Source organism: Homo sapiens, chromosome 10 (genome assembly GCF_000001405.40).
Source record: "Homo sapiens chromosome 10, GRCh38.p14 Primary Assembly".
NCBI classification, from domain to species: Eukaryota; Metazoa; Chordata; class Mammalia; order Primates; family Hominidae; genus Homo; species Homo sapiens.
The window spans coordinates 60,063,578-60,089,465 of NC_000010.11; the positions used below are offsets into that span (position 1 = coordinate 60,063,578).

The following is a 25,888-nucleotide window of genomic DNA, read 5'->3' on the forward strand; positions in this document are numbered from 1 at the left end:
CATATTTGGTACTTAGCATTTTAATGACTTTCTAGGGTCAAGTTGACACAGGCAAACCCATAATAATTTATTCCACATTGTTGTGGGTTGGCACTTGCCAAAATATAGGACTACCACCCAATCCCACCAGCCAACAAAACCAAACCCAACAACAGTAGAGCCAACCAAGCTGAATAAAACTATTTGCTCCCCTAATATGATCCTGTCTTCCCTCTCTGCACATCCACCTCCAGCCATAGTGGTAACTTCGGAGTGTTTCTGATGACTGTGTCCCATGATTTAACAACTAAAATTATGTTTTCAGTTTTTATGGTCACAGAGAGAATGTCAGGCCAGATGCGAAAAATTCCCTGCTACTTGCTTTCCAAAAAGCTTCTGAAGAATAGAAGTTTAGACTGTTAACACTAAATTAAACAAGTATAACTTCAAAAGACTTGCTATTACCTCATGATCACTTAGTTTTCTATATTAAAGATTACAGAAAATTACAACACTACTTGGATGAACCTAACAGTTGGCTTATCTAAAATATTACATTTATGCAGTTTTGAAAGTTAAAATAATATAATTTCGGCATACTTGTGGCATTTTTTCCGTCTCTGGTAACCCATTTTTTTAATAACATGAAGCTCTGAGAAATTAAAGAATTTGGATTTTCCACACGTATTTGATTGATTTCATCCACTGAAAAATTCAGTTCCCTTGCCAGTTCTGTAGAAAAGAAAGAGAGTTACTAAGATTGCATATTCTACTTTTATCACACGTTTCATAAAAGTAATGCTCAATTGCCACAAAAAGAAAAGGGAATTTTATAGTCAAGCTCAAGTACAGCCTCAGGAATTAATTTTTATATACTTGGCTTCATAGCAAAGTAGTGACCATACACAGGCTGTGACTTAACTCTCCTTAGGTAATGACTTACAATCAGATTTTTTTTAGAGACCATCTTATAAAGATTTTTAGACTTAGGCTGGGCACAGTGGCCCATACCTATAATCCCAGCACTTCAGGAGGCTGAGGCAGGTGGATTGCTTGCACCCAGGATTTGAGACCAGCCTGGGCAACATGGCAAAACCCCGGTCTCCATACACACAGCAACAACAACAACAACAACAACAACAACAACAACAACACAAAAATTATCCAGGTGTGGTGGCACATGCCTGTGGTCCCAGCTACTCAGGAGGCTGAGTTGGATCACTTGAGCCCAGGAGGCAGGGGGTGCAGTGAGCTGAGATTGTGCCACTGCACTTCAGCCTGGGCAATAGAGCGAGACCCTATCTCAAAAAATAAAACAAGATTTTTGGAGTTTGCAAAGAGGATGTTGGATGATTGTTTTAATTCAGCCAAATTCTCTATAATTTGAGCAAATTACAAGATACGTAGAGGTATACAATTCATGTATATGGCACAAGAGATGCTGATAGGGTTTGTGCTAAGCAATCTTCATGAAGGTATCTTTTACTCACATAATATGCCACCCTCTATGCCTTCAAGTTTCATAAACTCCACACAGGAGGTTATATGATGACTCCAGGCCAGATCATCTTATATGATATGAAGCTACTTGAGTAAAAAATAAAAGGGAGACAGCTTTCTGTCCATCTACTCGTATACACTCAGATATACTCATATTCAATCTTGTAAATTGCAGAGTGTCTTTGGAAAGATACATATGATCTCACTATTAGTGGCTGCCTTGGAAGAGGGAAACTTAGGAGTCAGAGAAGGGAAGGAGACTTAGTTCCCACTGTATTTTTTTATATTAAAACAATTTATCAAGTGTGTATTACCTTAAATGATAACAAAAAGTAAGAAATGGGCAAAAATGATCCCATGGAAAAGGAATTGGTCAAGACTCTATCCCCCTTACAAAATACTTCCAGCAATTTTGCAAAATGCATTCAGAGGCTCAAAAAAGTCCATTATCTTTTGACCAAGTGATTCACATTTAGAAATTTACCCTGACAATATATGAGTTATATACAATGATTTATATACATGAATGTTCATTGAAAACAATCTGCATGTTGAACAAAAGGATAAGAGTTAATTTAAGGCAGTGGCTTGCAAACAACTGTTGTGATCATGGCCTACAGTTAGAAATACATTATATATCATGGTGTTTACATAAATAAAATCAGATCTCCCCGGAACAGAATTTAGCCTTAATACACTTAAACACAGTCATTTTCTTTTATATAATATTCCATTTAAAAACAAAAACAAAGTATGAACTGATTTCACATCTCATTGAAGCATTGTGAACCACAGTTAGAAAACCACCATCATAAGGTACATCTATTGGATATTTTTTTATGCATTAAAACCAAGATCAGAAAATATTTAATTTTGTAGAATGACACAGTTACAAATAAGCAGATTACATTGTATGTATAACATTATAAAACGTTCTTGTTTTAAAAAAAGCACATAAGATGTTAATAGTGGTTTCGAGGGACAGATATAAATTTTGTTCTCTTAAATGCTTAATATTCTTAATAATTATCATTGAGCATACAGTAATTCTAGTTAGAGAAGTTAATTATTTTAAGTTCTTCATCTCTGTGTCTTAAGAGACAATACTCCTACTGCCCAATAAGCCTTCATGACAAAACTGTATCCATTGTCTAGAGACTTAATAAAGAGCAAAGACACTGACACTAGGAATTTTAGGTTTATGGCTTTTCGTCTGGCTATTAAGCCACATCTCCAAAAATTTACTCTGACTGTATTTGCTTAAGGAAAATAATCTAACAGTTCTAGGCATATAATAATGCAAAACAAACATTTGCTCCAGTATATTTTCAGATTACAATGTCCAATGTTAAAATATAAAGTTGATATTAGTAAATATGTATACATAATAAATTACTGTTAACTCTCAACTGCCTACAAAACATTATTCAGACCACCTATCTATCTTTTCAGAACTCCACTCAGCTCCCAACCATTAGCAGTATACCTGAGAGCAGAGACTAGGTTGATGAAGAGAGGAGGGTTTGAAATGGGGTAGTGGTGGTGGGGGTGGACGGGGACTGAGGGCATTCAAAGGAAAAAAAAAATTAGATGAAACTGCTTCCTATTATCTAGTTTCATATTCTCCCATTAAATAGAGATAACTGTATGGAATGTATGTTGCTAATGGTATGCAGGATGAATTTAGATGTGATGATAATGAATATTTATTATTTGGCCATGCATTAAAAAATACACTTAACCTATAAAACTTAAAATTTCTCAGATTCATGTGAGGTAGGATTTTAAGGGTCCTGTTAAGCTCAAAATTACAATGCAGAATTGTCCAATTTGTCCAATTGATATGAAATCTCATCATCTTTTATTTTATTTTGTTTTATTGAGATGGAGTCTCACGCTATTACCCAGACTGGAGTGCAGTGGTGCAATCTCAGCTCACTGCAGCCTCTGCCTCCCGGGTTCAAGCGATTCTCCTGTCTCAGCCTCCCAAGTAGCCAGGACGACAGGCATGCACCACCACACCTGGCTAATTTTTGTATTTTTAGTAGAGACAGGGTTTCACCATGTTGGGTAGGCTAGTCCTGACATTAAGTGATCTACCTGCCTTGGCCTCCCCACAGTACTGGGATTACAGGCATGAATTTTATAGAATTCAACTTTTGTGAATTAAATATATTTATTTACATGTTTATCATATTTTAAAAATCACATTTAAAAATTTTTAATTCAAAATTTAAACTTACTGTCATTGTTTTCTTGTTTACATAGATAATGCAAATAATCCTTTCCCATTATCGAAGTGATATAAGATTTTTCTTTTAAATAAATATTTGGGCAGAAAAGTGAGTTTACTTAAAGAAGAGTATCAGATAAATAAACATAGAGTTTTATGTGTATATCGTACAAAATGTGAAGAGAAGTTCACAGTGAATGACTAAAATTTGTGCAGCCTAGGCGTGGGTTAATTGAACTGTTGCCTAGAAAACTGCCCTAAGGACATAAACCATGTGAAAGAATTTTGATTAATTAAGTCATAGGCCTTAGCTGTGTTTTCTTTTGTGCTACAAGATAAATTTGCTATTCAGTAGAAGGTTAACCTATATTACAGAAGTGACATTGTGAAGAAAATGCTTAAATTTAAGGTAAAATAAATTTAAATTTCTATTTCTTAGTGCATATGCATAGAAAAGGCTTTGGAAAAACACAGTATACAAGGTACAATCAGTATTTATCTCTGGGTAGATAAAATTATTGGTGATAAAAATGTTTTTTACTAGCTGCTTGTTTCTATTTTTAAAATATATATATTGAACTGCTTGTGAGTAAGACAAAGAAATGAAGAAACTAATTTGTTCCATTCAGGAGTGTATGCACTTACCTGTCCAACTAAGTCCCAGGTGATCGGCTACTATTGCCATCCTGATATCTGTCCGTTCACATGGACTCTGTGGACCTACGATTTACAATTTCTTAATTAAAATAATCATCAAGAAAGATACGATACTGGAAAATTGCTTTTAGCAGTACGCAGATTTTACAGAGAGACTAATGCTAACACTGTACACTGAAATGTGTCCTAGTCACCTACATGAACACTTCTTTGCACATGGCTCACTTGTTTTTCACCTGCATCAGGCCAAATGTCAGACTACATGGATGCTCAATGTAATGGGATTGAACATGCTGACGAGCTAGCTAGTTTAAACAGTTACAGAAGTGTCGTGTTGGTGAAAACACCATGATGGGATTTCAACATCTGTGCTTTTACTTTGACAGAATCATATCCATTAGCACATTAAAAAAGAAAAAAGAAGGTTGTTCATCTTGAATGACACCAATATCTTCAGCATGCTTCCCTAGCTGTCTACCGTGTAGTTTGATCAAAAGGCAGAAAGAAGAGTATATACGACAGCACATACAGATGACAATGACATAATGAGAAACTACGGTTAAGTCACTCCACAGGCAATCACAACAGTTCATGCACTAGGGTCTACGAGTTGGAAAGTGTTTACAAACTATGCTCGTTCTCCAGGATGTGAGCAGAGTGCTCGAGAGACCTGACTGCCTTCATTCTCACCAGTCCTTCTACTGCTCCTTTTCTCACTGCCGGCCTTTTCACTCTTTGATTTTAAAGGTGCTGCCTCTGTTTTCTTATCTCTAGCAGACTTCGTTGTAACCGAAGGCTGGCCACCCCGGGAAGTCTCGGACAACGACGTGTTTCTTGAGGTACTTTCTTCCTCATCGGACAACTCGGACTGCATCTTTTTTTCTTCTTCAGAGAGGCGGTCCACAAGCTTTAAGGTCTCACCACTAATTCCCTTAAAATATTCAATGGAATGTTTACATACTTCCTTGAGCTGACTTTTCCTAACTTTAACTGTGCAGCTGGTGGTGGTGGTAGTGGTGGTAGTGGTGGTGGTGGTGGCAGTGGTGGTGGTGGTAGTGACACAGGTGGATCTTACCTTTACTGGCAACTTGGATGGAAGCTGTTTGGCCTTGCCTTTCTCTGGCTGCCCTTGCTTTTGTGTGGCACATGCTTTTCTAACTGCAATTATGTTATCCCTGTGTGTGTTTTTCACTGGAATTCTGGACTTTACATCTACACATGAAGAAGTAGTAAGGGCTTTGGTTTTCTCGGATTGACTAACCTGCTTCATTTTACTTGCTTTAGTGTTTGACATATGGTTCGGTGGGAAGGTATCTTTTGGTGAAGTGGCCTTTATGGGAAGTTTGGATTTTTGCCTAATCCCTATCAATTCCTTTGTTTTTTGCTGTTCTCCAAGAACTTTCTGCTTATCTCTTACACAGTGTCCTTGTAGTACCCCTGTCTTTTTTCCTGATGAGACTTTCACTGGGTTATCTTTCTCTGTGGTACAAGTGGGTGCAGAATGTTCTGTCAGAACTATATTACTCATAATGTTATCTGTCTGTATAGTGGAAGAATCCAAATTGTTGTTGTTATTAAAGTTATCTTTTTGAAAATCATGTTTTTCATGGGGCCTAACGCCCATCTGGCTATTGGCTGTATTTGAAATCATTGTTATAGTTTCATTTTCTAATCCCTGACAACTGGTCATCACCGCTTCTATCTTATCTGTTATTTCTCCAGGGCCTTCTTTCTTCATGGTCATGGTGGATGCAGAAATTCCCATTTTTATAGGCGTGCGCAACTTGGGGTCAACTTTAGAGGTGTTAGTGGCTGCTGCTGATTTCTCCAGGGAGCCACTACTGGATGTGCCTTCCTGACACTCTCCGCTGGTCGGGATGCTGGGGTTAGGTTCCACTGTAGGTGTCTCTACATTTCTCTCTAGATTGGTTTCTACAGTGGTGTCCCCTGACTGTGGCTGTGGTGTGGCAGTGACCATACTTTTATCCCCTTCCCCCTGGTCCCCTGACTTCCCTTCAGAAGTATGCTCACCAATCTGGAAAAATTGGAGCCTCTCTTCAACAAAATCCCTCTTGCTCATGTCAATTGCACCACTGCGAGTCATCTCAAACATTTTTCCTTCATGAAATGGGAAGGGGTTAGGCTCACTAGTTGGGGTACTTTCATCAGTTGGCGTTCTGGCTGGCGTTGTATCAGGGGTTGTTGCTGGAGAGCGGTCTTCTACCGCCAGCCCAAATGGCTTAGTTTCATCTTCCCGTGATTTACTGTCAAAAACTTCATCATCCCCTCGGTTATTAGACCAAGGGTCAAAATCTAGACCTTTGGTAGCTACTGTTTTAAAAGGAGTGGCAAATTCTTCATCTACTTTGTAACTGAAGTAAGTATCAGGAAACACTGATCTGTCAGGATGTCTGCCTTCCAGTGTGAAGAACTGGGCCCCTGACTTCTGATCAGTCTTATCAGGAGTCTTTTCAGATGAAGAACTTTTAGAAGGTGGCTTGTCCTCATCTGGTCCCACCTTTCCCTCCTCCTCGATAACTTCAAGTTTACTTTGGCTAAAAGAGCGGTCAGCTGGCTTCAGAATGCCCTCTGTGTTCCAGATATCTTTCTTAATTTCCATGGCTTGAATTGGGAGTTTAGAATCACTCTCTGTCAAGCCATCATCTTCATCTTGCAGGTCATAGCCATCCAGAGAGTCGATCTCTGTGGCATCCGTGTCATGAGAAAACTCTGCTGTGGTGGCAATGGAACACTCTGTGATGGACTGGTCGTTGTTCCCATTCTGGGCAATTTCATTCTGAGGTGAATCAAGGCCAAGGCCAAATTCATTATCTTTTCCAGATCCATTACTTTCCAGTTCTTTCTGGTTGGAAGCCTTTTCAGCAGAAGCTTTGGGTTTTTCTTTTTGTTCATCGTCCACTTCCTTTAATTTGAAGGTATATTTTTTAACTGGGACTGGCTGATAAATAGATTCGTCATCGCTTGAATCACTGACGTCTGCCCCGGGAGGAACTGGTGAAGGTGGCTGCACTCTAATGACAGGTTCAGCCAGCTGGTACTTGTCATGCTCATCTTGCAGATTGACTTCAATCATGTCAACCTCTTTTTCTGGGAGATAATGATGCTTCTTATCTGACTCAATCTGGTCCGCATCCAGTGGTGGAGGAGGGGGAAATTCAATATAGGCAACTCTGTTATTTTTGGGTCTTTGGTTAGAGTCTTTGCTCACGTCATTAGGCATTTCACGCTCAACTGCTGTTTCCTCCACTGTAGTCTGCTTAAGGGAGGTTGACTTGGCCTGTTCCTCCTCCTCTGACTCCTCAGAAACCTCGGGAATTGGGCTGGGTTTGCCTGGTATATAAGCTATGAGCGAGTCAGGTGTCTTAGATGTAAATTCATAACTCACTTCCTCTGAACTGGGTGTTTCTGGGGTTAAAGGGCTTTTCCCAGAGCTGTCTAGAAAGGATACTTGCTCTAGAGTATCATCTTCTGGACTACCTTGGGGAGAAGGAGGTTGCTTTTGCTGTCTAGTTGTATAAAAGGTCCCCCTGGTTTCTTGTACTGTCTTACATTCCTGACTTATGATTTTTTTTACACCTCCTTGTTGTATCTCCTTTTCATATTGCTTCCCCACTTGTACAAAACTGACATAAACGGGTAAAGTTTTTATCTCTTTCCCTCCCTCTGTCTGGGCTAGTGGTGCGAGTTTTTCCAATCCATCAATGGGACTGTGGTCGAATACATCACTAGAGGGAGATTCCTTTCCTGGGCTAAACTCTAAAGAATCAGGAGATTTGGTGGGGGAGGTTTCGGTTTCCTCGAGAGGTGGGCATAAACCTACATAACTCTGGTGTTTGGAAACTTTGCTGATTTCTGAATAGGTAACTTTTTCATCTTCTATAGAATTAAAGTGCTGTGTCTCAACTGTCTCTTTACTCATGCTTGACTGGGACAATTTTTGTGATAGTTCATGTTTTGGAAATGCCGACTGTTCACAAAAACCATCGGGAATATTAGAAGACAGCATTCTCCTCTCATCAGCAACTCTGACGGGAATGTGTGACACTGCTGAGCTCTCGCTCCTCCTGGAAGGCTGATCAAGCAATCCGCCTGGATGGTCCCCTTCTTTCACAACATATTCCCTATATAAGACTTTTTTGGAGGGAGATTTTACAGTCATTTCTTTAATTTCTGAGAGAGAGCCGTTTGTTAACAATTTGCGTTCTCTCTCAGTCACAGACATAAATTCATTCTTTTGATCAACACTTTTACTCTCAGGGTGACCAATGTGATTCTCTCTTACATCATGAACAAGTACATGCGAAAGTTTTTCTTTCTGAGACTTATTGTTAGTGGCTCCCGAACTCTCCCATGTTCTAAAGACCTTTTTGTCCCATGGTCCCCTAGTTGCTAAATCTGAGGTTATATGACATGCCAAGTCTTTAGCCTGCTGCTCAGAAAAAGAGTCAGGCATTGCTTTACTTGACATTTCAGTTCTCTGTTTTTTCACATTATCAGAGCCAGAATCATTTACAACAATTTCGTTGCTTTGGGCATGCTCATCTTTGGTTTTTAATACCATAAAATCTTTTTGCACAGATACACTTTCATCTGGGAGGTCTATGGCCTTCTGCTGTTTTTCTCTAGCAAAAACTTGGTAGACGGGTAGCTTGCTCTCCTGTATTTTTTTAACTGGGATTCTGGACTGGCCATCTGACTTTCTGTCTTCTTGAGACATGTCCTTACTTTTTGCGTGTGTGCCTTGTTCAAATTTTAATCTAATGGAACTGAGTTTAGATTGTTTGAGCTGGAATCCAGACTGGGGCCCATCTGGTGCTTTGCTCTGTGAAATACTTCCTTTGGCTTCCACTGTGGACTTGCTGTCCTCAGTCTGTTGGGAGAGAACCATCTTCTCTGGGCTGCTGGGCAGACTGGGTGCCTTCTCCTCGGCCTTGGGGAAGCCTTGTCCATCAGGGCCATGCTGTCTTGCCTTAACCCACTCATCATTGGATGCCAGCAGTTCTGTCAGTAGCACTTTCTCAGGGCTGCTACTGGTAGGGCTTTGAGAAGAATATTCTTTGCCATTTTTAGGGCGTGCCTTTTTCTCTGGGGACTGCAGTTCATCATTTAGCTTTTCAGTTTTGTCACGAAAAAACTGTGACACTTCAGTCAGTTTTTCTTCAGCCTCCTTCACAGTCCTGTCCACCCTATCTTCATATATCAACTTCTCTCTACCTCTGTCTAATCTGTCCTCAGTAAAGCGCATCCACATGGCATGTTTTGGACTACTAACATTGCCAGAATAGTGCAACACTGTCACTTTATCAAAATGCTCATCTTTAGACACTTTACCTACACCATTTTCAGAAACATCTTTATAGATTTTGGAGAGAATTTCTTTTTTGGGGGCAGTGGCTATTTTTTCTCTGGACCGCTTATCAGACCCCTGTAACTCTGAGCTAGGGGGTCCTGCATGGTCTGTAACCGATTCCTCAGTATCAGAATGAGACACATCTAGCTTTTCTGACAGAAGCATTTTCTCAGCAAACCTGTAAGACTCCCCTCTTAGTTCTGACAACTCATCGTCATGGTATTCTATTGAGTGTTGACTCAAAAGCTTCAATGTTTTATAAGAGTCATCAGATATGAGTTGAGCAGAACTAGGGCGGCTATCTTCTTCTTGGGACACAGGAGTGTTTACTCTGGAAGACTCCAGATAAGAAGGCAATGACTCTTCAGCAGTAAGTTCTTCTTCTTCTTGCTGACCCTGTTCCTCTGAACAAGGAAAAGCATCGTGTTTTTCTGGCAGAAAATCTTTTAGGTTAATATCTCCCCGGGATAAGTCTTTCTGATATACATACATTTCTTTTTCTGGATGCTTTTTGGTTTCTCTAATAATGACTTCAGTGGGCTCAGCTTGGTTACCTTTTTCGATGTGGACTTCTATTATACGCTCCAGTTTGGGTTTCATTTGGTTGTCCTTCTCTGCATGCTGGGCTGAGGTTTCAGCAGCAGACTTGTGAACATCTGGAGACACTGCCGACTTATGTTCAAACAGACCTGCCAGTTCTTTGGAAGGATCCCGCCCGGACTGAAAGGCCTTCATGATGTCATGGACTGACATGGTTTCTTCAATTCTTTCAGATGCACCTTCACCGCCTGGTGGAGAATGATAAACCATTCTGGTGGTTGTGGTTATGTGAGTCTCTTCTTTAACACGCATGCCTTTGCTTAAAACCCGATTGTGGTCATCTTCTTCACTACTGGCTTTCATTTGAAATGCTTTAACCTTTTCTTTAATACTAGAGGTGGTGGGCTTTGGTTCCAATTCCATAAAAGTAGGTGAAGGTTTAGGTGACACAGGCTCCTCTGGTTGGGTCTGGGGAACATCCCCAGCTGAGGGATCATAGCTCCTGATAACATGAACCACTTCAGTTCTTGTTTCTGTAATGACAGGAGGGATGGGAACTTCATGAAAAAGTGGTTTAGGACCAGTGCTTTCAGCGCTTTGTGGGGCTGAAGGTGTCTTTTCACTTCTTGTTTCAAAGCCACTGTCAGACAAGGGACTTTTATCTTGGTCGTGTTGAGAAAAGTCATCAGGAGACTCTAAAATAGTATCTGTTCCAAAAAAGGAATCAGCCATTTTACACAATTCTTTCTCAGAGGTGGAAGTCCTCATGGAGGCTGGAGGCATTTTGAGTTTGTGTTCCTGCAAAGCAATTGCTGGTTTTAAAACTCTTTTCTGTCTCTCCTCACCATCCTTCTTTGCATCCTCAAACTTGTATTTTAAGTTTGTCAGTGAACTACTCCCAATATCATTTGTTAGGTAATCAATAACTTTGGTCAAGTTATAATCCTTTTCGGAGGCGGCTTTTGCTTTTACTTGCACTCTCTCTGGCAGAGATGGAGACTGGCTCGCAGCAGCTTGTTGTCTGGCTTCCCGGATTTCTTCCGAACTAAATTCTATCCAGTCATCTTCAGGAGAGTGTCCTTTGTCACTCTTTGGTGATTTGGGTGATCCTTTATTATCTACACATACATCCTTTTTAAGGATTTCACTAACTTTCACTAAGTCTTCCTTTACTTTCTCTACAATTTTGAAAGGTTCTTCATCATCTATTCTCCCTTCCTTTGGGAGTTCAGGTTGGAATGGCTTCTCCTCAGGCACATCTGTCTGTAGTATTGCGGTCATCCGCATTAGGTCCTCTTTCATTTCAGCTACATCTTTTAGTATCTCCTGACTGGAAGATAAAGAAGATGGTGTAGACAACTTAAGGGCAGAGGGTGCAAGGAACAAAGATGACTTAACTGGAGATGAAGTTCGACTGAAGTGAGGCTGAGGATGTGTCTCCGTAGTCAATGTTTTAATGGGTGACAGCAAGGCTGCTGCTGATTTTGTAAATGAATTAGAGTCTGGAAGTTTCTTTAATGCTGGTTCTGGCAAAACATTGACTACAGAGTATACTGGCACTGTTATAATTGATGAAGTTACAGATGAGGTAGTTGCAGATATTGACGACCCAAGGGATGTATAGAGTGCACTTGCGGAAGGAGTTCTTAGAGACTGAAAAGCTGATGGTGCTGCAGAAACATATGACCTGAGTGGGGAAAATGGCATTGCAGTCGTGGTAGAAAACACTTTCTCAACTGTGTCAGTGGCTGCACTGACCACAGAGCTCACAGAGTTTGTAGCAGAAGAAATTTTTTCCTGTAACGTGGCAGTGGCTTTGCATCCATTAATTAAAGTTGAGGATGATGGATATTTTAGAGGGGAAATAGATCCATTGACTAATGCTACCTCTGCATGTCCAGGCATCTGCTTCACAGGTGATGAGAGAGAAGATGCCATTGTAATTTTGGCTGATGAAATGACATCAACTGCTGATTTAACTGGAGACACCACTGACTTTAAAGGTGAAGATATTAGCGGTGCTGCTGATGTAATAATTGACTTAAATGGCAAACTTGAGGAATACATATTAATGTTTGATTTGGGGGAGGCAGGGGGTGTCATAGTAATTGATGACCTCTCCAAAAGAGACCCTGCTGTAGTCACTGGAGAGGTTCGAGAGGAAAACGTAGAATTGGATGCCAGCCCTTTTAAGGGCGTAGCTTCCGTGACTGCTGGAGCTCTAGCCAGGGTACCAGAGGAAACTTGGATATTGTATGGAGATTGTGACACCACAGTTTTTATCGGCGAAGACATTGTCCGAAAGGATCTAATTGGAGATGCCACGTCACTAATGGATTTAACTGAAGATGTAGTTGACGCGCCTAATGTGGATTTGATTGGAGAAGGTGTCGAAACAGACCATATTGATTTTAACGGAGAAGCTGATGGCGTATTAGAGGAAGAACTTGATAAGGAAGTGAAGCCTGACTTGGCTGGCCCAGGCACTGTAATCGGAGCTGTTGTCCAGGACTGGTATGGTCTTGTAGAAAAGAATGGCTTGTATGAGTAAGTGGTGGGGAGGGATCTTGTTGCTCCTGTACTCCGTTCAACTGTTTCTTAAATTTTAAAATGAAATCAAACACAAAAATCAACAAAAATGGTTGAGAAACAGAGAGACCAGAGAAAAAAATTGGTCAGTAAACTTTGAAATATTACAAAAGCAAGTACAATTGTTTGCATGATTTAGAATGGAAGAGGCAAAAGGAACAATTAAGAGGAAAAACAAATTTCTACAGACATAACTAATCTGAAGTTAAAAAAAAACAACTAAATAAAAAACAGAGTAATGTGAAATGAAAGAAAAAGCACATTGCAACCAAAGAGGCAAACAATGAAAAATAGAAAACATGAGGAAAGAATTAATGATGAGAAAAATAACCATAATGGAAAACTGTTCCCTACTTCCTATTGACTTTCTTATGTGTTGGTTTTGAAATATCAGTAGCCATTCTATTTTGCCTGTATAGGTACATGTTTGTTTCGTGCAACCATACAACTTTCATTTTAGTAATTTCTAATGTCCTCTCTCTCCTTTAGCCTTTCCATGATACAGATTGCACCTACTTAGAACCATTTCAATATATGTAGCTATACATTAAATATCTAAAACTTTTTTCCAAAACCACTCAAGCCTATTTCATGCAGAATCCAAAATAACTTTTAAGTGACAGGCAACTGATGTGCAAACTGTGAAGCCACTGGATTTTAAATCTGTATCTCCCATGCACAGTTCGGTTATGCTTTACACCCATAAAAAGCCAATAAGAGCAAGAAGTTTTCTGAGTCAGAATTTTAAACAAAAAAAACAAAGAAAAGGAATGTTTGCATTTATCTTTTCCATGCAGTATATTCCTTTTGATGAGAGGAAAAGAAAACATAATATGAAATGACTTTAAAATGCATGTGTACATATACACACACAAAGAAAAAAACAGAAAATATGGTTCATGGTTACCATAAGCAAGCAAAGCAACTGAAAACATTTTATCATGCACAATATATCATGGCAAACAAGCCAATGAAGTAATACAATTCGTATGCCATATTATGCACAATATATAAACTTTAAAGATACTTTCACAAGGGCATTTAGAAAGAAGAGTACACTTTTTCCATGAGATATGAAGTCTTGGTACCTTTTGAGATTTTAGGAAAATATTTTCTACTGCAAGTTATAAAATGACCTGCAACTACATACGTCCATGTCTGCAACTCTTCAATATGGATAAAAGCATATAGTTTATCTCAGATATTTTTTCATAACCTAATCTACATTTAATTTTCAAAAGCTATCATGGGGGACATCTAAAAACTACATTCATATTTTTAACACCCCATATTTAAGTACCTACAGTAGGATATGTGGGGTGTGTGTATATATGTTTATCAATTTCAAAGGTACCAATTCTGGTGCCTTCCCATAATATTCATGGGACTTATGGATATCACAAACACTGAAGCAGTCACGAGGGAGACCTACCACTAGGAAGAATGGATATAGTAATACCAGCATTTCTTCTGGCAATGGAGCAAGAAACACACAAATGAAGTAAGCACACTTGCTGGGGAGCACAAACACATACTTGGTCCTCTCTGCTTCTACAACTCAAACAAACCAAACTGGTCAGAGATTTGCAAGGCCTGCCAACGGCTAATGTTCTACATCAAAGGTGAATACAGTTTTGCTCCAAGAAAGCCCTGGTTCAGAATAGTGAAACTCAAAGAGAAAATGAGAATCTGCTTCAGCTTTTATGTTCTTCTTCATGCTGTGCCCGTGCCATTGCTACAGTCCAGTCTTTGGATTAGCAGCTACTCTCACAAGGGTGAAGATGGTCATTTCTAGTGTACATTTAAATTCAAACATTCCAAACATATCCTTTCCTAGGCTTACATATTATTCTAAAGAAAGTGGAAGAACTAAGGAAAAACTCGCCTATTCATTACCCCTTCTTGCCATAATTCTCAATATTATATTGCTGAACTCTTTTGGAAATGCCACGCTGCAAATGGAAGGTTTGCAGATTCCTTCAAATTCAATGATTTGAGCTTAGTCTGTGTCTCACAAGCATTTATTTTTGTAACTATCAGACACTGACAAAGCATCTATCCTTTACCACTGAAGGCTGGCTCTATCAGGCAAAGAAATCTTTTGAACCACGTCTATGGTTTTATACTTCGCAAGGAACAACCAACCTACCAATCAGTTACACATTTTATGCTTTAATGACATATATTTTGGGATCCCTTTATAAGAGGGAATTTCTGGATGTCAGGCACCGAACTAATCCAGAATCTTTTTCCTGGGGGGAAGGGGTTGGAAAGGCAGCGTGGTGAAGGAAAAGTGGCATTCACTTGGAGTTCCCATAACACCAGTTTTGAGACTTACTTTTCTTTTAGTCACTTCCTATTCCTATTCATTCCCTTGTTTACCACCCTTATGTACCCTTTCATAAAACAGAAAACTTCGCTCCTCTTCTACCAAAAGTCCAGGAACACAAGCTGCATACACCTTAGCTGGATCTAACCAGTAACACTATTATAAGTGGGAAACATTCAATTGACTTTGCCTTAGCAACCAGAATCAGATGGAAACTCACCTGCCTGAAGGGGCCTCCGACCTAAAGCGGCTGGTCCATTGAGCCTGTCCAAAGCTTAACGATGTTGCCTACAGGGTCTCAACCAACTACCCACTGAGGATCTCTAGGGCAAAATAGTATTCCAAAGAAAACTTCCCCAGTGTATTTAATTCTACTGGAAACCACCTAGCTACCTAGCTACACACACACACACACACACACACACACACACACACACACACACACACACACCCCTCTTCTGCTCTGTAGCATAATATGAGTTAATTTCAGCCCTTATGTTTCTGGGAGGATTTCGACATTTCTGCTAGAGGAGAACAGAGATCTGAGGAAACATTCTTGAATGTGGTAGGTTTCTTTCATTTCTCTTATATTCTCCATTTTGTATTTAAATATTGAAACTTCTCTAATAGTCAAGGAGCTAGGCTCCAGAAGATGACGCTAAGACCATCTCAACTAAGTGGTGCAGTAGTGTCCTGCCGCAGATCTTATATGCTATGCTGTTGGCCCATAAAAACAAGACTTCAGAAAAGGTGGGAAAAGCCAAAGATGTGACTCTTACTGGCAAATTTCCAGACCTCCTTGAACTTAAGAAACTGTGTCAGTGGGAAACAGCTAGGAATGATTCACTAATTAAAAAATAATTTTTGTATAATTTCCCCTCATTTAAAATGAGGAGAATGGTTAAAGTGGCACCAATATGTCAGTCAAATACAATGCTGAGCTCAATACCCTTAGTTCCTGCTGGTGGAGGGGGTTATCTTGAGGGCTGTAGAGATCACCAGAGGTGATGATTACAAGGATGATGGAAGGAAAGGGAGGAGGAGGCAGACAGAAAGAGAGAGAGAGAGGGAGAATATATAAACAGATAGGACTGAATGAATCTGTATCTTAATAAGTGCATGCCAGCTAACAATGAACCAAAACGATCATTGAGAAAAGAAAAGGGTCTAACTGGTCTAGTGAAGACCAGCCTTAGAACTGATATTTTAATAAAGGACAGGAGGAGAGGAAGTGAGAGGGAGGGAGGGAGGAAAGAAGAACTCTGTAAACAAGTGCTACCTCAAGAAGGTAAGGAAACGTGATTCTTGCAAAGTGGGAAGAAAAAGAATCGGGACTAGGATATGACAACCTATCTATACTGAGAAAAATGAGATGACAAAGTAACTTTATCATTTTTCTACCATTCCAAATATTTGAGTAATTTTTTTCATCTGAGCATAGATCTAAAGCAACATTCATATTTATCTCCTAGCATAGTTAATCAAAGTAAAAATCAAGGTTTTAAAAGAAAAGTAATACATGTTTCTAATTTAAAAATAGTTAATGGCTTTAAAAACTGTTTTGAAGTATGAGCTAGGGGCGTTTTTACCTCACATCTTCAACTAGGCACAAAATATTACTTAGGTTGTATGACAGGGTTTTCCTGCAGGCAATTTTTCTTTTGCCATTGAGTTTCCAAATGATAAAATTTGGTTTGTATAGAAAAAATGTCTCTTCTTATGAAAATCCACGTAGATTAGTAAATGTGTTAGGAAACTCACTCATTCCAGGCTCAGTCAAGTAGCTGTAGCGCTTACGTAAAGCTAAGGATGCGAAGCTCTGTCGTCTATCTGTTTTCTCAATCTGAAAAGGAAAAAAAAAAAGACAACTCTATTTCCAACTTCCCTGTGACATCTTCAGTTTTAAGACATTTTGTAGGATGGCATGTTGATAACTTGTTTATTTTCCTTCTTAGGAAATGTTAATTTCCCACTGGGATTTTGTAACCCCACCCCCCATGTCTTAACCAAAATCATCATTTGGCAAATTTAAGAGCACCAACACAGCAGACTACAGGGAAGTACAAGTAAAAGACAAGCATTACAGAGACTTCTGATGCTGAGCATTAAATTTTCCTGGAACTGTTCATATTGAAAGCACATATATCACAAAGTACACTCACTCTATGTGAGTACATTCAAGGGAGAAAGGCACACAAAGTTTATTATTCCAATTACTGCTGGGGATTCTGTATGTTAACAGGCATAAAGTGTAGATGAGGAGATTGAAAACAGATGAATGGTTTTGTTAGAAGTACTTTTTTTTTGGTGGGGCGGGCAGAGGAGGGTAGGGACGGAGTCTTGCTCTTGTAGCCCAGGCTGGAGTACAGTGGTGAGATCCCGCCTCACTGCAACCTCTGCCTCCTGGGATCAAGCAATTCTGCCTCAGCCTCCTGAGTAGATGGGATTACAGGCATGCAGCACCACGTCCAGCTAATTTTTGTATTTTTAGTAGAGACAGGGTTTTGCCATGTTGGCTAGGCTGGTGTCGAACTCCTGACCTCAGGTGATTCCCCCACCCCATCCCCGCCTCGGCCTCCCAAAGTGCTAGGATTACAGGCGTGAGCCACCACGCCTGGCCAGAGGTACTATTACTGCATCCTAAGGCTACTTGATTCTATTTATTACTATTGATGTGTGGGATTCAAAAACCTAATTATCATATAACTTAGAGAAACATTAGGAGACAACTTAATTGAACTATATTCTTAAAAAAATGGTCAAGATAAATTTCTTTAGTGAGAGTATCAAAGATTTATCAATAGCTAGTAAGCAAATATTTTGTATCACATACAACATAAGTTTATTTGTACAATAAAATTGCACATATTAAACGTGATCTTGATTTAAATGTTATAACATGCTGGATAGTAGGATATAGTTGATAGTAAAATAGGCACATGAAACTTTCACAAAATGTCTATTTGGCGGGTTCGAAGGTAGTGCGTTATCTCAGTTGACTGTTCTCGTCAGTCATAGATAGAACTTCCTGGTCCTACTCTTTTCCCCCTTTCTCACTATTGCACTTGACTTGTCTAAAAAAATTTTTAACGTTTATTTATACATGCCAATCTACCATATTTAAAAATGTTTAAAGACCTTCAGTTTCTGAATCATCAGCTGAATTATAATTTCGTTGAATATATTTAAGTACTCTTAAGTACGTGTGGAAGAAGAGTGAACCATTTAAGAAAAATATATACCCTTTTACCTACTTAAGACCTGAAAAATATAATTTATATGTTTCCCACACTTTAGCCCTCTGCAACTTCTGTCATACAGATTCAATTTCTATTCTACTTCTGATAGAATAAAAGCAGAAGTGTTTATATTACCTCATCATCTTGATCTGACTCTGTCTCCTTTTGGTTCCAAGATGCATTGCAGAGACAAGGAATATTATAATGGACAGCAGGGAAAAGAATATCAGGATATGAAAAGGACTGAGTAGGGAGCACAAATGCAAGCTGATTTAGAAAGCAAAGCAAATTTTAAAAAAAGCCAACAAAAAATATCAAGAACTGTACATCCATGGCAAATTAACATATGACGTTATTTAAAAGCATAAAAATCTATGCGCTACCAGCAGAAGCAAAAGCGATAAACAGAGAAGACTCCATCATACAAACTATAAGAATTTGACACCACATTAACAAGACTTAGGCAATCTACACGAGGAGACTAATACAACTTCAGTTTCAAGAGCTTTATTCATGTTACAAAGCATTCCTTAATTGCATACCAAAGGCCCACTTCTTCAAGACCAGGGAAAGACAATTTAAAGCAGTATTAAAAGATACCTTTTTATGTGCTGGCAGAGTGATATTTAAGTTGCAAACCGCTGTTTGAGGCAGTCCTTTTGTTGTCTTTGGTTCTTTCAGAAAAGACAGACGACCACAGGGCTCTTGGCTGGTGTCTCTAATCTAGAAGAATTTTGGTAGTTGATGGTTATAGAATGAGACTTATCTGAGGATTTTTAACTGTATAAGAGTTAAGCATGGTTGTTTTATCAAGCCCTATGAGAGGCAGGAAAGGTAAAGGGAAAAGATGATGATTACGATTATGCAGCAACCGGGGTGGTCACATCTGAACTCAGCAAGAGTTAGATGCCCGATTCCTAAACGCAGGATTGTTGTGTCTGATGATCTAATCCTGACAATTCATAGTACAGTCTGAGTTATGTGCATTTTCCTTCTAACAGTTTTTTTTTCTGAAAGCTCCAGCTTTTGCAACAGTAACAGCAAATAATAATGACAAAACAATTTTCCTCTCTCCTTCTGTTCTTGGAGAGAGAAGGTGATCCCTCTAGAACGTCCCTGGGCTCCACCAGAAATGAAAATGAAACTTGAATACTGTATTTGCATTTCATCCATTATTTGATTACTGAACATTAACCAGAAATAACACATTGTATTACTCTAAATTGTTTGGTTTTACAAATGTTTGCTTAAACATAAATGTTATTAAACTCTTTGAAAAATAATGATCCTTTTTACCAATTGTAAAGCTTTACTGGCTTGAAAGTATACTCTGGTAGAACCAGAACAAAATCTGACCTTATGAGTTCAGATTTGACGGGGTATTTCAAATTAAATAAATCATTAAAACCTTTTATTTTTATTCTCTAAGAGTATTTTTTCCCCATAATTCACAGATTCTCTGTTAAAGATGATTTACCTTGATGGAAAATGGCAGTCTATTTTCTTTGAAAGAATAAAAGTTAAAAACAAGTTGCTGTCCTCCTTTGGTAAGTGGGGCCAAATTTCCATAACAATCAACATAAATAGGTTTTCCTTCCAGAACCTTTTAGAGTAAAAGAAATAAACAATTTAATGTTAATCTGAGTTTAAAATATTTTGAGATTTTATGTCACGTAACGTTAAAAGACTGACGTTACTATGTTACACGTGTCTCTATTAGGCAGTTACTTCTGTGGTGCTATTTGCAACAAAAATAATGTTGTGTGCTTACAACTCACCAACTGTAATTGGAATCCATATCATGGACATATACAGAACAGAATTACACATTTATTTTTATTCTGGCAACTTTAAAAATATTTAAGAATGTGCCTGACATCAATCACTTATTCGTATAGATTTTGAAAGCTTTTTTTTTTTTTTTGCACTGTTAGATACTTACATGCTCACTGGGTTTGAAAAAGGAAAATCATAGTAATGTGTATAAACAGTGATTCTGAAAAGTAGGTAACTCAAGTGGCCACAGGAAAATGGAGACCATAACTTAAATTCATTAGTGCTATGTTTTAACCAGCTAAGACAGCCCCAGAGACACTTAAAATAATTTGAGTATTGGCCGGGCGTGGTGACTCATGTAATGCCAGCGCTTTGGGAGGCCAAGGTGGGTGGATCACGAGGTCAGGAGTTTGAGACCAGCCTGGCTAACATGGTGAAACCCCATCTCTACTGAAAATACAGAAAATTAGCTGGGCATGGTGGCAGGCGCCTGTAATCCGAGCTACTTGGGAGGCTGAGGCAGGAGAATTGTTTGAACCCAGGAGGCGGAGGTTGCAGTAAGCTGAGACCGCGCCACTGCACTCCAGCCTCGGCAACAGAGCAAGGCTCCGTCTCAAAAAAAAAAAAATTAAATTAAATTAAATTAAAAAAGATAAAAAAATTTGAGTATTAATCTATATCAAATTTTTTAAAGTAAAAGTAAAATCAATAATGCACTTGGTATTTTATAGTGAGTGCTATTAAGACCACAAAATAAAACCTCATATCTGGAGTACGTAATGAAATGAACTTGTTTTTGTGAACAAGGTACCTCAATATCTTTGCTTCTTGCGACTTCCTCAAAATTCTCTTGTTGCTCTAAAGTTTTGTCCACTTTGTCATCTGTCATGCAGAAACATCGCAAGGAAGATTCTACGGGATCATTCATTTTGGCAAAAACAACAAACTTGGCCATATATGGAACACATATCAATTCTCTGTACAGTTGCGTGGCTAACCCCACAGTTTCTAAAACTTGATGGCAGTCTGCAAGCCAAAATCTGAGCAAAACAAAAAACAGAAGTATGAAAATGTGGCTATTTAAAAGCCAAATCTTAAAAAGACTCACAATTAAAAAAATCAGAATATGTAAAGGAACTAACCCAAAACGTTATTAACTTGTTCATTTAAACAGCAAAGATGCTTTTTCGATGTATCAAACACAGAAACCCTCTGTTTGTTATTTGAGGATAATTTTGATAAGCAAATACTACGGATTTTTTTTCTCACAACAATTTTTTTTAGTATTGAACACAACAATTTTTACTTTCCAAAAGGTAATAAAAACTAATTCCTTACTGCTTTTTGGAATCCTTTATTTCCATACCTGGCTGAAACATTGGTTGTAAAGGAGACACAATCTTTTATAAACGTCAAAGGAGTTGTTCCTGTGATGTCTTCCCACTGAGCAGGCGAAGTGCCCCCTGAGAGAACAACAGCAGATATGTTGACTTTATCATGGGAGATGCTCCTTGTAAAATTTTCATCAGATCCTGTTCTTCTTTCTGCATAGCCACAAACTGGCAAAACTTCAACACCTTCAGTTTAATAGTGTGTACTAAAGGTAGTTTTCCTCTCTACTCTCCTTTTATACTTTTACCAGGCTTATTGTGATTTCCTTGTAAGATGATATTAAATTAAAAAAAAATTCCTTGTTTTTTGTCTGGGTACTAATGAATGGCTTAAACTTGGGGCAGCCACAATTTATAAGTATATTTTATAAATGCAATTTGTAAGTGCAAAGATTGGTTGTTTCAGATGGATAATTAAGTCTCTTACTCTTTTTTTTTTTTTTTTTTTTTTGAGACGGAGTCTCGCTCTTGTTGCCAAGACTGGAGTGCAATGGTGCGATCTCGGCTCACTGCAACCTCCGCCTCCTGGGTTCAAGCGATTCTCCTGCCTCAGCCTCCCCAGTAGCTGGGATTACAGGTGCCTGCGACCACGCCCAGCTAAGTTTTGTATTTTTAGTAGAGACGGGGTTTCATCATGTTGGCCAGGCTGGTCTCGAACTCCTGACCTCAGGTGATCCACCGCCTTGGCTTCCCAAAGTGCTGGGATTACAGGCGTGAGCCACCGCGCCCAGCCTCTTACTCTTTAAAAAGGTAAGAACTACCAAAGTTAAGAAACAGCTCATTCTGTACATGGCATTCTGTACAATTAATTACCGAGGGTAAAAAGGGGCATCAGCCATTAAAATTACTCCTCAGAGAACAAAAGAAGATCAAAAACAAAATCTATCTTTAATAATCTTGGAATTGCAGTTAAAAATCGGACTAGGATAATCAAAGGATGAATTGAGCTCTAGATTCCAGGTGCTTATCACAAAATGTGTTCTTCTGAGCCCTGAATGTTTAAACTCTCGGATTACACTGGCGAGTACAGTAGGTGAGAATAACCATGTACTGAACAATTTCCTATTACTAGTGCTCTGTGGGACATGTATTTTTCCCAAAGTCCACCCAATTTCCTTGTAGTTTAAAGTATGTTGCTAAGTCCATTACCTCTGTCTAGGTCACCAAGAAATTACCTAGATTGAATCTAGAAATTACCTAGATGCTCCAGTAGATTCAATGATACTTCTACTAATGCTAACCTTAATAGCAGGAAAGATGCTATCACTAAATTTTAAATGAGTCATGAGACCAGGATCTTGACCAGGATCTTCCCAAGAAATGATCCTTGGGAAACCAGAGATGAGGTGATGGACAAGTAAAATGTTTTGTTCTTTTATTTTCTCTTATAATGTTGGCATGGATATTTCAAAGGTTTTATATCTTTGTACACAAATATATCTTTGTACACAATCTTTGTGAATCAATAGGAAGTACAGCAGTGACTTAACCAAACCTGTAATGCTACAGAGAAGACGCAGATTGGGTGTAGTGTCCCCTTTGTATCCATTGGATACACCTTCTCCTGAGGGCGGGGGCACCGGAATGGTCATTGTGATTGGTTTATGGAATTTCCGTCTTCTTGGTTCCACAGTGACAATTGGGCTAAAAGTTGCTTTGTTTCCAAGGATCTTTTTCACAATTTCATCTGGAACAGGCTGGGCCTAGAGACAGAGAAAGGACTTTAAATGAAAGTGACTTTTTTTTTTTTTTTTCCCAATCATGAAGTTTACTTTTTAAGTGAGAAGGAAAAAAACAAAAACAGACAACCAAAAAAAAAAAAAAAAAACCCAGGTCTTTTTTAACCTTTCTTACTATTTTAGGAAAGCATGAATAAACGAAACCAAACACTATGACAGGAATTGGTCAGTCTGAGTATTTCCCCAGTAGAACACAAATAGCACTGGCTTGCAGGAAAGAGAGGGGATCCAGTCTCACGGCATAGAAGTTTCTTAGTCTAGTCCAGATTAAAGGACAATAAATGCTGAGTCCAATATATTTTAAACCTATGCAGGACATTCAGTAAAACCTCCTAAAGGCAACTCATACCCACATAAAAACCGAGGCTTTCAGAGTTAATAACAAAATGCATTCAAAATTTCAAAAGATTTCAATTCTAGTCTACTAAGCCTCTCTTCTACCACTTGGTTTCTTTTCTGTTTGGTAAAATAACTTGGTATGGGAGGCAGGTGAAGGGAGCTTCATACCCCTGAAATGTAAGGTGGTCTCGTTAGTGCTAACTACTTATTAAAGGTCATCTCAGGACTTAAGTATGCTTGGCTCAAAACAAACAAACAAAACCCAGTTAACTCCATTGGGCAGGAGAGTCCAGCCTCACAAGAAGAACATGAACCTTCAGTTAAACTATTAATTACAATATTAATAACATCTATTAAGTTACTTTAGTTCATTTTCCTTATTCAATAAAGAAAAAAAGAACTAAAGTCTAGCTGAAATAAACACAAGAAAAATCTTTTGATCCAAGATTTCCAGCCAGCTTTCCAAACCAAATCAAGTTCCAACTGGTTTGGATAAAACCCAGTATTTATGATTTACTTCAATCAAATGAAAACACTAAAGTCTGCAGGCTTCACTATAACTGATTTTTATGATGTGGCATATCATAAACCATGGCTTGGTATGTTGTTCCACATACTGAGACCAATAACCTATGATTTAAAAAATTATTTTTCATCAGAAACCAACTGAGACTTTTAAACAGAACAACCCTAAAATATGTACCTTATTTAACAAGCCAGTAAGCTAACTTTATACTTGATGCTTTTTATCTGAAATAGGTAAATGATTCCCCAAACGGCCTAATTAGCAGTATCATTAGGATGTTAGAATAACTCTTTCCAGAGCAAAACATGCACTCACATGCTCTCTGCGCATACTGAGGGAAACAACTTTTTGTGAACATTACCTGGAGGCCCACTCGAATTCTTTTAGTTAGGGCACCCTCTGGGAAAGATGCTTGAACAAGGGGCACTGTGGTGCTGCTCAGAATTCCACCTTCAGGACCAATCTGGTTGCTTTCCTGCTTAATCCGGGAAACCACTGCAAAATACTGGGGGAAATCTTTCGTGATAATCCTGCAGATACGCTTTTTCCCTAACTCTTCTGGGCTATCAAGTTCTGAAAAGACAAATGAAAGAAAATGCCATGAGAATAAGCATATCTACAACATACCTTAAGTCAAAATGATATATCTTTTTTTTTGAGATGGAGTTTCACTCTTGTTACCCAGGCTGAAGTGCAATGGCGTGATCTTGGCTCACCACAACCTCAGCCTTCTGGGTTCAAGTGATTCTCCTGCCTCAGCCTCCCAAGTAGCTGGGATTACGGGCATGCACCTCCATGCCCAGCTAATTTTGTATTCTCAGTAGAGACAGGGTTTCTCCATGTTGGCCAGGATGGTCTCGAACTCGCGACCTCCGGTGATCTGCCCGCCTCGACCTCCCAAGGTGCTGGGATTACAGGCATGAGCCACTGGGCCCAGGCAATACATCATTTTAATAGTCAAAATCATTTATACTCCATAGCCTAAACAGTTTTTATGATAAAGAGAAAATGGTAGTGACCATAAAATATTGGGTTTTGCAAAAATATTATAAAACTATTAATATAAGTATTTGTAGAAAATATTTTTACAGAGTGGGAACAAACATTTTCAAGAACTGACATTTTGCCACCTGTGGATAAATTCCCAGTTTTCAAGAACAAGAATGGGAATTTACAATAATTTGCCCCCAAGCTGCCAAAAGTAGAAATGAGTTAGGAAAAAGAAAAAAAAGTGAGGCCTCATAAGAAAGTGAATAAGAACTTAAGTATGCCTGAAAGTTCCAGAACTTCATTTAAAAACCTCTTTCAAATATTTTAAAGTTATCCAAATGTTTAGCATCATCATCACCAATTTCTTTGTGCCCACTGATGGCTCTCATGCGTGGAACTCAACCTGTCCACAAATGGATACATCTTCTTCCCTGCTGTCTACCTCCAAAAGTACTTTCCTCCATAGTCCTAACTCTAGGAAGGGTTTACAATCTGCTCATTCCTTCACTCTAATAGTTATGACTCAACTTCCTTAACAAATGGTCAAAGTCCAAGTCCAGTTGATTCTCTTTTGGACGTGGCTCACCCTCCTGTCACCCGGGTGTTCAGGCCCTGTTTTAGTTTGCCTAATTGCTAAGACCACCTCCCAACCAACTCACCTCTCTCACTCCAGTCCATCCAGGTTGTGTG

General features: G+C 38.8%; 1 protein-coding gene across 5 annotated transcripts in view, besides 2 other annotated features; it reads right to left on the bottom strand.

Annotated features, from left to right (window-relative positions):
• Positions 1-25,888, bottom strand: part of ANK3 (ankyrin 3) — a 707,231-nt gene that overhangs the window by 37,280 nt on the left and 644,063 nt on the right. For 4 of the 5 annotated variants that reach the window (NM_001204403.2, NM_001204404.2, NM_001320874.2 and 1 more), the window contains 9 exons: positions 24,570-24,781; positions 23,100-23,307; positions 21,580-21,676; positions 21,025-21,253; positions 19,915-20,040; positions 19,038-19,160; positions 16,960-17,041; positions 4,358-4,432; positions 580-711 (listed from right to left, as the gene is read on the bottom strand). In NM_001204403.2, coding sequence (NP_001191332.1) covers positions 580-711; positions 4,358-4,432; positions 16,960-17,041; positions 19,038-19,160; positions 19,915-20,040; positions 21,025-21,253; positions 21,580-21,676; positions 23,100-23,307; positions 24,570-24,781 — 1,284 coding nt within the window. Of the gene's footprint in view, positions 1-579; positions 712-4,357; positions 4,433-5,059; positions 12,872-16,959; positions 17,042-18,572; positions 18,600-19,037; positions 19,161-19,914; positions 20,041-21,024; positions 21,254-21,579; positions 21,677-23,099; positions 23,308-24,569; positions 24,782-25,888 lie in introns of all 5 variants that reach the window. The other variant, NM_020987.5, reaches the window with a different exon arrangement.
• Positions 10,403-10,542: an enhancer, noted in NCBI's record as "active region_3393". NCBI's record gives its function as "activates an Ori minimal core promoter by ATAC-STARR-seq in GM12878 lymphoblastoid cells {active_cell/tissue: GM12878}" and the evidence as "EXISTENCE:reporter gene assay evidence [ECO:0000049][PMID:35858748]".
• Positions 11,033-11,082: an enhancer, noted in NCBI's record as "active region_3394". NCBI's record gives its function as "activates an Ori minimal core promoter by ATAC-STARR-seq in GM12878 lymphoblastoid cells {active_cell/tissue: GM12878}" and the evidence as "EXISTENCE:reporter gene assay evidence [ECO:0000049][PMID:35858748]".